Source organism: Homo sapiens, chromosome X (genome assembly GCF_000001405.40).
Source record: "Homo sapiens chromosome X, GRCh38.p14 Primary Assembly".
In the NCBI taxonomy this organism is placed as follows: Eukaryota; Metazoa; Chordata; class Mammalia; order Primates; family Hominidae; genus Homo; species Homo sapiens.
The window spans coordinates 14,714,466-14,733,285 of NC_000023.11; the positions used below are offsets into that span (position 1 = coordinate 14,714,466).

General features: G+C 37.6%; 2 protein-coding genes across 12 annotated transcripts in view; one reads left to right on the forward strand and one right to left on the reverse strand.

Moving 5' to 3' along the window:
* The window catches only part of GLRA2 (glycine receptor alpha 2), a 283,034-nt gene extending 265,687 nt beyond the window's left edge, over positions 1-17,347 (forward strand). For all 8 annotated transcript variants that reach the window (XM_047441999.1, NM_001171942.2, NM_001118885.2 and 5 more), the window contains one exon: positions 15,742-17,347. In XM_047441999.1, coding sequence (XP_047297955.1) covers positions 15,742-16,020 — 279 coding nt within the window. In that variant the 3' untranslated portion in view covers positions 16,021-17,347. The remainder of the gene's footprint in view (positions 1-15,741) is intronic.
* Positions 1-18,820, reverse strand: part of FANCB (FA complementation group B) — a 183,546-nt gene that overhangs the window by 24,942 nt on the left and 139,784 nt on the right. The gene's annotated exons all lie outside the window — the stretch shown is intronic.

Here is an 18,820-nt window from a genome sequence, read left to right on the forward strand (position 1 = left end):
AATAAAGAATGGGTTTTGGTGGTAACTAGGAGTTGTATAGCCCAACTCAACTCCCTATGCCGCCACCCCAGCCATTTACAGGCTGTGGCAACATCAGTTCCAAGATTTCTGCTCATACCACAACTGAGTTCTGTTTGTTCTCCCCTGCCCATACATTTTCCCCACTACTGGGGGTGAAGTCTGTCATGAATAAGAGGCCCTACTGGCATTTTTAAATGCATGAGGCTTGTAAAAATAACATGTGTGATCAAGGCAATGAAGGTGATGTTGTATAATGATAGCTAAATAGTACAAAGCACCACAGTGCAGGTATTAATTTGTTTTAAGAGATTTATGAAGAGAATATTCCATTAATTAGAATTTTAAGACTTAAAAACGGATGTTTGGTAATTACTATAGATTTACAGGGATTTTGCTTTCCTTGCTAAACCCAAATGAATAGAATATGAGTTCAAATACCCTAATGTTATACAAATACTCCTTAGTCTTTTGCTATGGGTGTTAACTGATAAGATCGAAATTTATTTGGTAAAATATTTGAATATATCTAATATGTATTGACTTTTAACTAGCTTTATTATTTTGAATTGTAAACACATACATAAATGAAAAAAAGTCTTTATATTCTAAAATTTTTGTCTATTCCATTTGTTTTCCTTGCAAATAAGTATGCACTTTCTTTTAAGATTCTTAACAGGGTGAATCTAATTTTCACACTATGTGGCTGCTCACGAGCTTAATACTTGGCCAAAAAAATGGACGGTGTTTCAAAAATAGAAAACCTCAGTTATTGAGTGACATTGTTAAGCTTAGGTTTGCCCTAATTTTATATAAATCCAGTATGCAAAAATAAGCCATATGGTAAATAAGCAAGGAAATGACTTTTCAAGTTACAAAATACTTTTTTCATATTACCATTCACTTAAGCCTTTACTTTATACATATATGCATTCAATGTAGGAAGATTCAGCCAAGTATTATTCTAGGCACTGGGGATATCAAAATATGTCAGAACGGGCCCCTGCACTTGAAAGTTACATGAAAGAGGCAGACACGTAAATAGTTGAATTTAATATGATGCAGTAGATTCCATTATGGAGACATGTACTACAGGAGGTAAGGAGGAACCCATGGCTCAGGATCAGGGGTCAAGAAAAGGCATTCTGAATAGAATAATGGCAGAGTAGAATCTTAAAAGACTTGAAGGAGTTTACCAGGTAAAAAGAGGTGAGGATTATTCTATATAAAGGGAAGCAGTTTATAGTCAAAGGTCATGTAATCCTATGAGAGAAGTAGGTGTAAGGCAGGACATGGGGGTCCTTGAATGTCACACAAAGGAGCTTGGGAGTGGTCATTAAGGAGATGAGAAACTGTTGAAAAGTATTAAGTCTTGAAATGGAAGCAATGGTCCAACGGCATCTATTCCACTAAAGTAGAAGGCAGGGATAGCTCCATAATCTGCGTAGCACAGTGCAAAATTAAAATGTAGGTCCCTTGTTTAAAAATTATTATGAATGTCAACATGGCTATAGCAGAGCATTAAGCCAAGCACAGGACCCTTCTAAGCACTGGGCACTGTGTGACTGTATAGTATGCATACTCACGAAGCTGACCCTGTCAGAAGGTCTCAGGGCCGGGGTTGAAAGAAGACAATAAAACCCTTATTTGCATGTGTCTACTCCCTGGTTGGGAAGAAAAATCTTAAATATATCAACCAGCTAGAGATTAGTCTCAAGGCAACATACTAGCCAGCATTATAGTCCTATACCCACAAATTCAGAAAATGGCCAAATGTCCTATCTCTTCATTTTAAAGATGAGGAAATTGAAGAACAAAAAAAAATTGAGGGACTGTCCCAACCTCACACATCTAGGTTATAGTAAAGATGTGAATTCAACCAAAGCCTTTCAGATTCTAGCCCAGTGATTTCCTCTGTTCCTCTGCAATATCCAGTCTATTTAAAGTGAGTAGAAGAGGATGGAAGTCCTTTGAGGGAAGAGATTGATCCAGAGGCTGCAGAAAGGACTACAATTGGTAAAGAGAGAGTTATCTGCCAGGAGACAACTGCTGTCCTCTCCCTTCCCCCAGGGAGCACGACTTTTCTGTGTCCTTACTTAGAATTAAGAGGATCACTACAAACACAATTATTGAGTAATGATTAGGAACCAGGCAATGTACTCTAGAGAATAGGGCTACAGAGTTAATTTTGACATGCTCCCAGGAGCTCACCCCTCTGGTGAGCAAAGATAATAGTGAAAATCAGCTATCAAAACCCAGAGTCCTTGGGCATCTATCCTTTAATATGAATGGGAAGCAATATTAAAGAAAATAATAAAAAGAAAAATGGAAATTAATACCTAAAACCAATAGGTAACTAGAAAGTCTTTTTCAGAATAGGAGAATCATGGATGATTTGCACATCGCCTTGTATGTCTCAGCAGTGTTACCATCAGTACCTTCACCAACTCTGGAGACTTCAGGCTAAACTGAACCCCAATAAACCTTTGTACATATCTCAAAAATATGCCTCCTATTATACTCTATTTCGTTATTTATGCCCCCTTCAAAAAAAGCAACAACAAATCTGACGTGTCCAAAGTTTAGAAGTATATCTTAATTATGTGCTTCCAGAGCCAAGTCCAGTGCCTGCCCTATAATAGGAGCTTCTTTATTCAACATTACTGCCGATGGTCAATAAATTGAATGGATTGACAGATGAGGTCAGTGTAACTGGGGGCACCCTCCAAGTGGAGGGCCTGGGTACAGAGAGAAGCTTTCAGTGCATCAAGGTGAGAGAAGCAGGGTCAGCCACATCCAAGAGATACTTCTGCCATTTCACTCTTCTTTTATCCTTCTGCCAATTTCTTCACTTAAGAAAGTAAAAAAAAAAAAAAAAGTAGATATCAAGTCCTTTACCTAGGCTTAATTCTTATATATACTCCTACACACAGTTTTACCTCTCATTGATCATTTTAAATTGAAATAATTAAACTACCTTATAGGACACGGGCTCACTTTTCTAACCAGGTCAGGTTTTGATTGCATTCATTCACAATCTTTACCTGTGCATAAGCCTGCTCTAATATTTATTTGTAGAGATCATCTTTCTTTCTTAAGTTTATTTTGTCATAGAGTTGTATATAGTTATGAGTACATTCAACTCTGTGGAATGCAGATATTATAGAAAAGGTTAAGTATAAATCACTTTATATGGAGTACATCATGAATTAGATGAGCTTGGATTTACTAGCAACTGGAAGATCCTTCTGTAAAGTAAAAAAAAAAAAAAAAACCCATCGGTCAATAAACAAGGATTTATCAAGAATTTTTTGAGCACGCATTAGATTACTCAGTTATGAATCCAATTTCAAAGAAATCATCCACTGATTTATTGCTTTTATATGGTTCAGATACTTATTTTGAAAGGAAGCACACTTGTGTTTGGTTTTATAACAGAGGAGAGATAGGCTGATGAGTAAATGTGATTCTCTGAAATGGTACCCCTGAGAATGTCGTCGGGTACGACATTGGTTTCCTGCTAATGTATCATTACTGAGATGAAGTCAAGATGTTTATTTTTCAAGCAGAAGTTACATTCTCTATCAATATGACATTACATTATAGTGCTGCTAGTTCTTCAGGGATATGATTGATTCCTATAGTAGGGTGGATATAGGAGCCTTAGGCAGTGATGCTGTATCTCAAGTGACTAAGATAAGATACAGGCAGCTCACTGCACAGAGAGCCACTAGCCAGTTTACCTAGCATGACTTACAGAGCAGTTTTCACCAACACTGTACTTAGACTGGCATTTTTAGTCCTACTTTTAAATTTGAAAAGCCAACCAGTGGTCAATCAGGAACACATTCAATCCCATATATTTGTAATATTTATCTTACTTTATGGCAGGAATTCTAGGTTTAGATAACTAGCTATTGAAAGTGTAATATTTGGCACAACGATGACTCAAATAGCCTGTTCCAGTTACTGTGCTGAATAAACCACTTCAAACTTATTGGCACAAAACAACCATCTTACTATGCTCAGGAATTTGTAAAAGGCAGAGTAGGAATGACTTGTCTCTACTACATGATGTCTGACATATTAGCTCAGACGATTCAAAGACACATGATTATTTGACAGCTAGGAGTCAGTCATCTGTAGACTTGTTTGTCCACATGTCTGGTGCCTAGGCTAGGAAAACTCTAAGACTAAGACTGCTCATCAGAGTGCCTACACATAGTCTTTCCATGTGGCTTGACTTCCTCACAGCATGGCAGCCTCAGGGTAGTTGGATTTTTTATATGGTGTCCCAAGACTCCAGGCCCAAGTGCACCAGTGAACATGGCAAGGCTGCATTGCCTTTTATGAACTAACATTGGAAGTCATACAGTGTCATCTTCACTGCATTCTATTACTTACAAGCAAACATAAGCCTGCCCAGATTCAAAGGGAGGGGACATAGACCCCTAACTCTCAGTAGGAAGAGCTTCAAAGTCACAATGAAGAAACCATGTGAATGGGACATATTGTTGTGGCCATCTTTGACAAATACATTTTGCCACAGTCCACCCTCTTCGCACAACAATTCACATCCCTCCCACGTGCAAAATATGCTCACTCCCTTTTCCAAGACCACCAATATTAAATGCACACCTACAGGAATAGTAAAATAGAAAGCTGTTTTTTGTTATTGGTGTTTTATTTTATTTTCTGGGTAAGGGGAAATAATTAATGACCTATAAAAGACTTCAATGGGTGAAACATTGATTACAGGTATTGAACTAAAATGTAGCTCAACCTGAAGAATAGGAGAAGACACTTTCAAACTCTTCATCCAATAAGGGATCAATATCAAAAATATACAAGGAGCTCAAACAACTCAACAGCAAAAAATCCAAATAATCCAATTTAAAAATGGAAAAAGTATCTGAATAGACATTTCTCAAAAGAAGACATACAAATGACCAACAGGTATATGAAAGAATGCTGAACATCACTAGTCATCAGAGAAAAGCAAATCAAAATCACAATGAGATATCATCTCACCCCAGTTAGAATAGCTATTATCAAAAAGACAAAAAATAACAAATGCTAGCAAAAATACAGAAGAAAGGGAACTCTTATATACTGTTGGTGGGAATGTACATTAATACAGCCATTATGGAAAACAGTATAGCTCAAAAGGCTAAAAATAGAAATACCATATAATCCAGCAATCCCAATACTGGCTCTATATCCAAAGGAAAGGAAAACAGTATGTTAAAGAGATATCTGCACTCCCATATTTACTGCAGCACTATTTACAAAAGACAAGACATAAAATCAACATACATATCCATCAACAGATAAATGGATAAAGAAAATGTAGTGTTCATACATAATGGAGTACTATTCAGTCTTAAAAAAATCAAATCCTGTCATTAATAGTATGGATGAGTCTGGAGGACATTATGTTAAGGGAAATAAGTCAGGCAGAAAAAGAGAAATACTACAATTTCTCATTTTTGGGAGCTGAAAAAGTAGATCTCATAGAGGTAGAGGGTAGAATAGTGGTTACTAGAGGAAGAGAAGGGTAGAAAGGAGTGAGGAATAGGGACAGTTTGATTAACAGATACAGAAGTACAGCTACATAAGAAGAACAAGTTTCAGTATTCTATAGCACTACAGTAAACAATAATTTATTGTATTTTTTTCAAAGAGCTAGAAGAGAGGATTTTGAATGTTATCAACACAACACAGTGATTAAGTTTTGAGGTGATTTATATACTAATTAACTTGATTTGATCATTACACATTGTACACGTGTATTGAAATACCACCCTTACCTCATAAACATGTACAATTATGTGTCCATTAAAATATATTTAAAAATTTAAATGTAGCTCAAAACTCAGGATCTCATCATGTAAGTCAAATGAAGCATCTCAGGTTAAGCATTTTGGATACAGTTAAAAATGAAAACCTGGGAACTAAAGAGACAAGGTATCTGCTCCACTTACTCAACAGACAATATGGAGACATACAGAGGATAACTGTTATAGACTCTTCCATTCAAAAATAGGGGGAACAAGAGGCACACAGCAGTCACTAGTTAACAGGAATTCTGAGACCTAGAAAGGTCCATGTTGGAAGATCCTTGTTTGGGGGATATATTCCTTGGTTGTCCTCTCTAGTTTTTGGGTCTGCTCTCTGGACTCTTATTCTGCTATTTGAAACATCTTTCTTTTTCTATAAGAAGGGGCACTTGTTTGCCACTGAGTAACCTTTTTAGTCTATTTATTGTCTTTAAAAGATTAGGAGTCTAAAGACCTCCTTTCATTTTATACTATCTTTGTTGTTTTCAGTCCAAACATACAATTCCTTAAAAACTGTTGGGGGCAGGGCTGGGCATGTTGGCTCATGCCTGTCATTCCAGCATTTTAGGAGACCAAGATGGGAGGATTGCTTGAGTCCAGGAGTTTGGGACCAGCCTGGACAATATAGTGAGACCCCCACCTCTACAAAAAAATTAGCCAGACATGGTGGCACATGACCCGTCCACCTTGGGAGGCTAAGGCAGGAGGATCACTTGAGTCTGGGTAGTCGAGGCTGCAGTGAGCTGTGATCATGGCACTGCACTTCCAGCCTTGGTGACAGAGTGTGACCCTGTCTCAAAAAAAAAAAAAAAAAAATACTGTTGGGGTTTATATATAAATTTATAATCCACTTCATTAGACAAAAGCTATACTCACAAATATTTTCAAGATAAACCCTGTTTTAGTTAGGAGGATTACGTTTTAGAGATGTATTGCATAGCATGGTGACTATAGTTAATAATAATGTACATTTCAAAATTGCTAAAAGAATAGATTTTAAGTGTTCTCACCACAAAAAATGATTAGTATGTGAAGTAATGGATATGTTAATTACCTTGAGTTAATCATTCCACAACAAAACACTACATTATACTCCATAAATATATACAATTATTATTTATCAATTATAAGCCCTTGTTATCTTAGGCTCCCTGTGAGTATGCTGTGTGGCCCAACACCCTTAATATTCGTAGAAGCTTATTGTTTAGAGGAGACAATCTGTAAGGCATGTTCTTATGATCCTTATAAGACCTATTGCCTGTCTGAAAGAGCTTATCAGGTACTGCTTTAGATATTTCTCAGGTTTTAACAAAGAATCGTACAGTCCCACCCTGTATATGATTTTTTCCCCTGAGGCCTGTTCTGATTTGAGGACCCTTCGCAGGCTGAAAAGACTTATTCTGGATCCTTTACATTTCCTCCAACTTCTACTTGGACACTTAATGGCCTGTTCTTCAGTTCTTTGTCCTCTCTCAGTTTGGTATCAGCAGCTAAAAGCCAAGCAGCATCCTCAGTGCTCTATCTGGAAATCTCCTTAGGTAGATGATGAGGTTTATTAAGTATATTTTCTATTTTCCATGTTACCACAGGAAACAATGTTGGTAAACTTTTCCCCATCCTCCAGCTTTCCACAGCAATTGCCTTTCTTTCCTCCCAGTCTTCCAACAACCTCCTTGAGGGCCTTCCAGCTTCTGCCTGCTGCCTGGTCCCAAAGATAATGCCACAACATTTCAGTTTTTGATACAGCATCAATTATCTGTGTAGCTATCTATTACTGCATAATAAATCATCCAACATCTTAGTGGCTTAAAACGATAACAAGCAGTTCATTATCTCTCACACTTTCTGTGTGTTAAGAATTTGGGAAGATCTCAGCTAGGCAGTTGTGGTTCGGGGTCTCTCCTCTTGGTGCAGTCAGACAGTAACTGGGGCTGGAACAGCTGGGAGTTGGGCAGGCATCATTCTTTCTTCATGTACTCACAGGGCTTTTCCATGTGATTTCTCCACATGGGCTACTTTGAGTTCTTCATAGCATGGTGGTCTCAGGGCAGTCAGACAGTTGACATGGTGGCTCATGGTTCCAAGCACACCAGGATTGGAGCTTCATCACTTTTTATGACCTAGACTTAGAAGTTACTTAGTGTCACTTCCACCAAATTCTGTTGATTAGGAGCAAGTCACAAGCCCACTTAGACTCAAGTGGAGGGGATACAGACCCCATGTCTCAATGGAAAGAGTGTCAATGATAATACTGTTAAGAAAAAAGCATATGGGATGGGAGATATTGTTGTGGCTATCTTTGGCAAACACAATATAATACAGTCTGTGACTTCTATATGACATATGGAAGCATGCAGAGGAGAAAGAAGTGGGAACTGCTTCTCTTCTCTTTGCCTTGCCAACATGCCACTATGCTATCCACAGACCAGTTTGAGAGGGCCCTGCAGAATGAGTGTAGGGGATCCCACCAGCTGACCTAAACCATGGCTACTCCATAAAGCTTCCTTTGGAATACTTAGCTGACATGCAGAATGATACTTATAATTTCATTTTATCCTCAGCATCAGAGCAAAGATTTATTCTGAATCCAAAATTATTTACAAGTATTGCCTTATCTGGGTAAAACTTGAAAAGTATTTAAAAGAATAATTTTAACTGTATTGGCTAATGGCTGATTTTAGCATAAGTCACCTTCAGTATTTTTTGTCTTGCAAACAGTTTGGGGTTGAAAAGAAAGACTGCCAGTCATGCATTAAAATATAACCAAGTGTATGCCTCCAGCTGAGATCTCTCTGAGTTACAGACTGTCCATTGCAATCAATCACCTACCCCATGTATCTATTCGAATGTCTCAAGTGCACCTCAATCGTATTATTTTCCCCAAACTTAATGTGATCCTCTTTTGGTGTCTTCTTTCTCATTGAATGGCATTAATATCCATCTAGTGGTTTAAGCTGGAGGTTAACCTTGACAATTTCCAATCCATCTCTAAGACCTGTTGATTGCCCCTCTATGTCTCTAGTTGGCACATTGCTCTCTACCTATACCACCACCCATTAAATCCAAATCATTATCATCTCTCATCTGGACCATTGCTGTAGCTTTGTAACTTCTTGGATTCACTTTTGCGTTCCTCTAGGCAGTCATCCACATGGCAACCAAAGTGATTTATTTCAATATGCTGATCTGGTTATGTCATGCAATCTCCATTAAAAGCCAGTTATGGCTCCCCTTGGTTCTCAAAATAAAGCTTCATCAGACACTGGTTTACAGGGCCCTATATGATGTAGCCCCTGGTTCATTTCTGAAACATTGTCTCACTCCACACTCCCCCTGTATTCCAGGCCTCAGTTGCATCCCTCAATTGCAGCAAACCCTCCTATCTCAGACATTGCCAAACCCTGCCTTCACCTCTTTAATGCCTCTCATTTTTTAAATCTCTAATGAAATATCACTTCCTAGGGGAAAAGCTTCTCTTATCTGTCAGATTAGACCAGGACCCCATTTAGTAAGCTCTCATAGCATCTTATAATTTTCCTTCAGAGCCCTTATCATAGTTAGTAATTATGTATTCATGTGATTACTTTATTGTTTCCCTTCATCTCAAGGTTGCAAACTCCTTGAAGGCAAGAATCAAATCTATTTTGCTCTCCACTGGATCCCCGGCACATAGCACAGTGCCTGGCATCTCTGCAAGCCTTTTCCAACCACTCAATCTAAAACACTCCCTTCTATGCCACTTGCCTAAGTCTCTTACCTTAACTGTTTATTTTTTTCCAAAGCACCCATCATTATCTGTGTGTGTCTTGTGTGTATATGCATTCGTATATGTATATGTGTGTATATGTATAAATATGTTTGTGTGTGTGTATAATTTGTTTACTTGTTACTGTTTCCCCCTCTAGAATGTAAATTCCAAAAAATCAGAGACTTTTGTATTCTTGTTCATTGCTGTAACTCTACCACGTACCTGGCACATAATAGGTACTCAATAAATATTTGTTAAAAATGTGAGAAATAAGCCAGGCATGGTGGCTCACACCTGTAATCCCAGCACTTTGGGAGGCCGAAGCGGGTGCATCACCGGAAGTCAGGAGTTTGAGACCAGCCTGGCCAAAATGGTAAAACCCCGTCTCTACTAAAAATACAAAAATTAGCTGGACATGGTGGTGGGCACCTGTAATCCCAGCTACTCGGGAGGCTGAAGCAGGAGAATCACTTGAACCCAGGAGGCAGAGGTTGCAGTGAGATGAGATCACACCACTGCACTCCAACCTGGGTGACAAAAGCAAAACTCTGTCTCAAAAAAAAAAAAAAAAAAAAAAAAAACAAGAAGAAGAATGGCAGTTGCTCAATAAATAAATCCTGGAAGTTTCTTCTTTAAAAATCAATGATAAAAATATGCTGCACTGAGAAAGAGATAATACATTGACATGTTTTTCTTTTGGAAAAATTGCCTTTCACAATCTGCCCAAAATGACACTTTGACAGTTTTAATTCATTTCAGCACATGTCATTAAGCAACAAGGGGCTATATTTGGTTTAGTTTATTTCAACTTTGTTGTTCTGCAAAGCTCAGTCAGATTCTTCATTCATAATCTTGAATGGAAGCCATTTGGGATTTGATAATGGAAGCCATTTGGGATTTGATAGGGGCAAAAACGTACACAAATCAAACCCAGAGACTTTGGAATCAGTTTTAGAATCAGACAGACCTGGATTTGAATCTCAGCTTCAACATTTATTAGCACTATAACTATAGGAAGCCACATAACTTTTCTTGGCCTCAGTTTCCCCAAGAAATATGTGACTTGAAAGATCAATTCAGTAACAGGACTGACCATGGTTTTAAGTGAATGGTACAGACTCTTAATAAATGCTATCCATTTATTATTCATGTCTATTCCCAAAGTACCCATGATACAAAGGAGGAAATTGAAGCCTTAACAGTTGAAGAAAATTTCCCAAGGCCATTCCTCTTATATCCAGGTCTGTGATTAAGCATCATTCAACCATCATTTGCTTGGGAGATTTTTTCAGTGAAAACCCACTGTATTTGGACACATATTGCTTCCTAAGACAGACTGGAGAGTCCATTATGTCCTTGCATTGAGTGAGACTCACTACAACCTTCAGTTCCAACTGAGAAATTTCCTGTCCCAACAGAAAGGAGGCTCAGTCCAATAAAAAAATCTGGGTGAGAAATGCGATGGAAAGATTTTTAGGAGTCCTTTTACTTCCTCCTTTCTCAAGAATAAAAGAAAAATTACAAATATAGACTCTGCTAAAATCTTTTCATCTGTAAGTGCCATGTTCTTTAATTATATTGAAATCATTTGCTTATGACAAACAATTCACTACAATGCAACTCCAGTGAGCTTTAGGTCAATTTCCCATCTAGACAAGAATTATTCTAAACACAGGAATGAGCAAATTTTACAATAAGTAAAACTGATGCATAAAATACATAAAATTAGATAATAAATTTCAAGCAAATTGCACAGTGCCATGGCAGTGCTTTATACAGCAGACGGGATTAAGGAGATCTTATCAAAGTGCGATATAAAAATTGCATGTGTTGAAACCTTGACTGGATGATTCATTTTCTGTGAGAATTTAACTAATCAGTGAATAACAAAAGAGGGTCAGCTAGAAGTGCTTATTGCTCAGTTACTAAAGATGGAAGATGATGGATAATTAATTGAGTTTCTGGCTAATCAGAAGAAATGGAGAATATATGCCTAAAATTAATTATTTCCTTACTGGAAGGACCTAACTGAGTCTACCTGTAAATATGCTCAACTCAGCTGTGGCTACAGATTGTTCTTTATTTTAGTTTCAGTTTATCCATGACTCAAGCTCATTTCATATAGGAATCTTGTCATATTACCATAACATTTTATTCTGAACCTGCTAGAAAGGCAATTAGTCATTTATTATAACACAAAAAAATTCAAATTGGTTGCAGTTATGTTTTCAGAATCAAAACCATCTCCTTTGATGTGAATACCATAAAGTTCTATATTTAAAAGGCATTGAATGCATCATAATGGTAAATAAGAAGACCCTTAAACTAGCATTCATACCTCCTGCACATAAAACCTTAAATGGATAATTTTTACTCACAACAGGTTTATTTTTGTGGCAGAGAATTTTAAAGAATTGATTAAATTAGCTATAACTATGCTCAGAAGCATAATTTGAAATAGTGTTGAATGAATGAGGAAAGTATTTTCAAGCATAGGGAAAACCCTCTTAAAATTCCCTTTTGTTCATTATTCAGCAAACATTTATTAAGCCCCCACAGTTTGCATGACGATGTACAATATAATGAGATTCTAACCTGACATCCTTCTATTCTAGCTCTGTTAATTGAATGAGTTAATCTTTTTAGCTGTCCATTCACAGTATGTGATGAAAGACTATAGAAATTAAATGAATGAGTCAATCTGAAAAGACACGTGGACATGTATATTTAAGTTTCCTTTTGTGTGCTAAAAATAGTTTACTACCTACATACCCTTTCTATTTCTTTAGGGGCTTCAGAATTTAAAAGAACATTATCTTACTGAGGCGGTGAACTATATGCTTAATCATGAGTTTCTAAAGGTTTATAGAGGTGAGAGCTGTAATTTGCAAGATTCTGCAGATACGCAAAGGAAAAAAACAGCACAGTAAATTTGAGCAGATAAGGAGAAAGGTATTTTGAGGGGTTGTTTCTATTTCAATAGTAACTTTAGACTTAAAAATATAGAATAGGTTGTACATTTTAGAGATGGACATCGGAACTCATCTAGACCAGTGGTTTCCAACATTTTACATTAGAGTCACTGGATCTTTAAAAAAAATAGACCCTAAGTTCTCATCCCCAGAGACTGGTCTAGAAAGGGCTGGGAGGGGAGGCAGGCATACATGTATTTGTAAAAGTTCCCCAGCAGCCAGAGCTGAAACCCACAGATCCCAGCTCAGCCTTGACATTATTGGCATGAGGTCCCTGAGGCTTTGAAAGAATAAGTAGCTTGCCTAAGGTCAACACAGCTTATAAGCCTTGGAGCAGGCACAGAACAGAAATATCCAAATTCCCAGAGCGGATCTCTCTTTACTAAACCAACTGGCATCATTTCTACTTCACACTGGTTGAGATCTAATTACCAATTAGTAGTAGTTGGGAAGTCCAAGACTGCCTATAACAAGTCCCCTCCTCCTAATGACCTGTATGTGCTTCCTTTTCTTGCTAAGCACTGAGTAAGTCTTCAGATAGTTATGAGGACACTGATGACACTGTAATAATTAATATATCCAGTTATTCCACATTTTGAAAGGCTTCACTTATTTAAAACTTTTGCATCCATAAAATATTCATATTTTTAAGGCAAAGAAAACAGGTTTAATATTTGAATCTGAGTCCCACTTTAAGTCTTCATTATCGAGTTTATATAACTGAGCACATGGAAGTACTCCGATGTTAGGCTGGATTTTGTTTGCTGACTTCCTTATATGATAATACCTTTAGTTTGGCCCCTTCCACCAGATTCTGAAAGTTCCATGCAGATAGAGCCCTTGTCCAACTTCATCAATTGTCTCCCAGCACCTAGTACAATGCTTGTCACAGAGGCAACACTCAACAATTAATGGTTGAATTAAAAATCCTTTATTATATTTTGTTAAGAAATGAGACAGAGTGCCTTTAGCCAACTTGTGTAGGATAATCCCATATAAATAAAAGTATGGAAAGATGGCTTTATAAAGTAGTAGTTTTATAGTTACTTTTTAAAGACCTTTGGTCTGATTTTTGTGATATAATGGTCTGATTAAAGGTTACAACTAGGCCGAGGCAGGAAAATCACGTGAGCCCAGGAGTTCAAGACCAGCCTTAGCAACATAGTGGGACCCCGTCTCTACAAAAAGTTAAACAAAAAATTAGCTGGGCATGGTGGCTCATACCTGTAGTCCCAGCTACTCAGGGGTCTGAGGCGGGAGGATCACTTGAGCCCAGGAGGTTGAGACTGCAGTGAGCCGTGATCATGCCAGTTCACCCCAGCCTGGGCAACAGAGTGAGACTGTCTCAAAAAATAATAATAATAAAGGTTATAATTAATTTTTTATTGGAAGCACTAGGTGCAGTCATTAATAAAACCTACTAATGTATCAAGCAAATGAGGTTTCTGTTTTCCCACCTGATTTTCCTAGAGATCAAATTTACATGGCGAAGGATGACATGGAATATTTGGCAATTATTCACACTTGCTATCTCTCCAGCTCAAATTCCAAGTCATTGCCAGGTTGCAATGGAATGTTCAGCCATGTTTAGGGCTGGCTTCACCAGAGATACTGTATCACAATGGGCAATGTCGATAAATCAAAAGCCTCAAGGACTGCGTTGAACTCTTCTTCATTTTCAGGCTGCATGTATCTCCCACAAAGGGAGGTGGCACCTGGGTACTACACTAATTTAGCTAAATGAGCCACATAGAAGCAAATCTGTTCTGCCTTGCAGGTTCTGCAGCTTCCCCTCTGAGCACGTATACTATAATCTAATCTACCTATTCTGAAGTCCTTGCACCACTCTTTAAACTGTTACCTGCTCTTTCACTCCCCATTTTGCACATGATCAAGTGTAATTAACTGAAATAGTTCTTCTCACCTTCCTTACCTCTCCAGGGATCTGCTGTTGAACTTACAAAACTCATTTAAGTACACAAGGTACAAATTGTCCTTGTTGTACCATTTGAGTTTTACTTAGGCTGTCATTCATATTATAAGTCCTTCATTTAGTATACCTTTTATATGTGGATGAAGACACTACTGACATTCAGTAAGCATTAATGAAATAAAGTTAATACCAAGTTTCCTTGTCTTTTGGGAAACATAACCATTATTATTATCTGGCAAGATAAAGAGTTTAGTGCCTCTGGTGACTCAGAGGAGTTGCATGTTATTGTGGAAGGCAGTAATCTAGTTACAGAAGAAGATAATTCAATTGATGGCTGTTTACAGTTAAGTCATTTCAATCCCAGCTTTTCAACCCCACCTTTTCAACCCCACCGTTTGACCCCCTCCTTTGACCCAAACACATACCCAGATCCCATACATTTTTCTCTAAGGCTATTTGTCCTTTACACCAAGGAATAAATACAATTTTTCAGACTTTTATCTAATTTATGTAGAAATAATCATACAAATATCACTGACATCAGCTAAAATGACACATTTAAATATGGTAGAAATGATTCACCAGCCAAATAATCAATGTTAAAAATCAACACTGGAAAAATTAAATTATTAATGAATATTTAATCTCTGCTATATAAATGAGATGAACTAGAGGGCTGGAGGGGGAACAGGTATATATATAAGGGGCTCACCTTAGATGTAACATCAACATTAAACCTAATGTTAATGGGGGAATTGCGCTGTGAATGAACCACAATACTATAGGTTCCTTAGGGCCAGGCACACAGCACAGGCTCAGTAAATGTTTTCTGAATGAATGAATGAATGAATGAATGGTCCTCTTCATAGACTTACAGTGTAACACTGGGATTTGGAGAACTGCTTTAAAATCTCTATTCATATCTAGGGATTAATAAACTAGATTTTGGGAAAGTCAGTACTGAATATAATGTAGGTGTTTCTGTTTGTTAATTAATTAAAATGACCACAGTCATTATTCTTACCCTTAATTTCTCAGTCTGAAAAGTTAATCAACTGTATCTGTTCCATGAATAATTGAGTTGAACTTGAAAGAGAACTCGCTATTCCAAAAGCCTCCCACACCACCAGTTAACTGTGATTTATCCTTTTACTTCTAAAGAATTTTAAGCATCTTCCATCTAACTTGACTGACAACCAATCTGTGCTTCCTCTGTCTTTATTCCGTCAGGAAGAAGACGTTACTCGTGAAAGTCGTTTTAATTTTAGCGGTTATGGGATGGGTCACTGCCTCCAAGTGAAAGATGGAACAGCTGTCAAGGCCACACCTGCCAACCCACTCCCACAACCGCCAAAAGATGGAGATGCTATCAAGAAGAAGTTTGTGGACCGGGCAAAAAGGATTGACACGATATCTCGAGCTGCCTTCCCATTGGCCTTCCTCATTTTCAACATCTTTTACTGGATCACATACAAGATCATTCGGCATGAAGATGTCCACAAGAAATAGATGTGCCCTACAGACCCTGGGACCTTCTTGCCTCAGTGTTGTGCTTGTAAATACACAGTGAAATTGTCTTTATATCACTTTGACAGAGGAGAAGATTGAGGGAGGGGGGAGGGAGGGTCATGGGGGTGGGTTTCCTGGCACCTACATGAAAAAAAAGACAAGTTATATGGGTGATGAAGAAAACTGCACAAAATTAAGGGGTTGCAGAATCACGGGAGCATAATAATTCCCTTCCATAATCTTTAGCATTGTTCTTTCAGTCAGACATGATATGCGCAACATTCAGACATGATATGCGCATCATTCAGACATGATATGCGGGGTCAAGTTCTTAAGGGCTGTTTGCCTTTTGGTCCTTTTGGTTTGGTTTGGCTTTGACTAATTCTGGTACTGAAAAGTTAGCTATACACACACACACACACACACACACACACACACACACACACACACACACACACACACACAAACTTCAAAAATGCTTAACCATCTGACCATAGTGACTAGCCTATAGTGAGTCGAGGACCAAACTTTTTCAGGAAAATGCTGCCTCGTTTTTAAAACAAGCCTCCTAAGCTATGTTCTTTACAATGTCTGTAATTAGTGTTTCACTTGAGAAAGCCTTTTGTGGGTCGTAAATTATTTCTACTTATCCAGTAAATAACAATGACAAAATAAACACCAATGACAGAAAAATTTCTACTTTACTGTCCATATAGGTGTGCATTTTAATATTTTTCTTTCCAAGATAAAATTTTGAAACTTAAATTGTGTATTGTGTAATTAATTTGATAGTGTACCCTCTTAATAAATGCCCACTTTATTTTATATCCAAGTTAGTGCATTATATATATATTTTTGCTTTGGCTATATTTACACGTGACTTTAATCGCCCAACTGTGACTAGTCATTGCAGCTACTCAGCTACAGTATTTATGGAGATGGTGTGTCCTGAACAGTGTAGCTCAGGTCAGCTTGAACTTTCCATTTCTGCTCTCATTGTAGGTGTAACTACTAGTCCTAATGTCAACTGACCCATGATTTCTACTGTCAGTCAATATAAGTGAACATTGTTTTAAATATCCTTAACTAACTTAAAGAATTTTAAAATTGTACTGTGATTTTCATAACCCGTTGCCTTTTTGGTACCAGAGCTACGTGGTTTGAATTCTGGCTACATGTTTTAAGTAAGAAAAAAAAAGACGTATTTTTGCTTACTCAGATAAAAGACAACCTGTAAAAATATAATAATTAAATTTTACATGTGCTGTACAAGGGGTTATTTTAAAAAGCATTTGTTCAATTTCAATAAAGCTAAGTGTGCCGCAAACTTCTCTAGAGGCTTTCGTTTTCATTTTTGAATTAAAATGTAGATATTTACTTTATCTCATTTTTTTATTTGAAAATTTTTCTTATTATACTTTAAGTTCTGGGATACATTTGCAGAACGTGCAGGTTTGTTACATAGGTATACACGTGCCATGGTGGTTTTCTGCACCCATCAACCCATCATCTACACTAGGCATTTCTCCTAATGCTATCCTTCCCCTAGCCCCCGACCCCCCCGACAGGCCCTGGTGTGTGATGTTCCCCTCCCTGACTCCATGTGTTCTCATTGTTCGACTCCCACTTATGAGTGAGAACATGCGGTGTTTGTTTTTCTGTTCCTGTGTTACTTTGCTGAGAATGGTGGTTTCCAGCTTCAGCCATATCCCTGCAAAGGACATGAACTCATCCTTTTTTATGGCTGCATAGTATTCCATGGTGTATATGTGCCACATTTTCTTTATCCAGTCTATCATTGATGGGCATTTGGGTTAGTTCCAAGTCTTGGCTATTGTAAATAGTGCTGCAATAAATATATGTGTGCATGTATCTTTATAGCAGAATGATTTATAATCCTTTGGGTATATACCAGTAATGGGATTGCTGGGTCAAATGGTATTTCTGGTTCTAGATCCTTGAGGAATTGCCACACTGACTTCCACAATGGTTGAATTAATTTACACTCCCACCAACAATGTAAAAGCATTCCTTTTTCTCCACATCTTCTCCAGCACCTGTTGTTTCCTGACTTTTTAATGATCGCTATTTTAACTGGTGTGAGATGGTATCCCATTGTGATTTTGATCTGCATTTCTCTAATGACCAGTGATGATGAGCTTTTTTTCATGTTTGTTGGCCACATAAATATCTTCTTTTGAGAAGTGTCTGTTCATATCCTTTGCCCACTTTTTGATGGGGTTGATTTTTTCCTGTAAATTTGTTTAAGTTATTTGTAGATTCTGGATATTAGCCCTTTGTCAGATGGCTAGATTGCAAAAATTTTCTCCCATTCTGTAGGTTGCCTGTTGATTCTGATGATATTTTCTTTTGCTGTGCAGGAGCTCTTTAGTTTAATTAGATCCCGTTTGTCAATTTTGGCTTTTGTTGCCATTGCTTTTGGTGTTTTAGTCATGAAGTCTTTGCCCATGCCTATGTCCTGAATGGTATCACCTAGATTTTCTTCTAGGGCTTTTATGGTTTTAGGTCTTACGTTTAAGTCTTTAATCCATCTTAATTTTTTTATAAGGTGTAAAGAAGGGGTCCAGTTTCAGTTTTCTGCAAGTGGCTAGCCAGTTTTCCGAACACCAATTATTAGAGAATCCTTTCCCCATTTCTTGTTTTTGGCAGGTTTGTCAAAGATCAGATGGTTGTAGATGTGTGGTATTATTTCTGAGGGCTCTGTTCTGTTCCATTGGTCTAGATCTCTGTTTTGGTACCAGTACCATGCTGTTATGGTTACTGTAGCCTTGTAGTATAG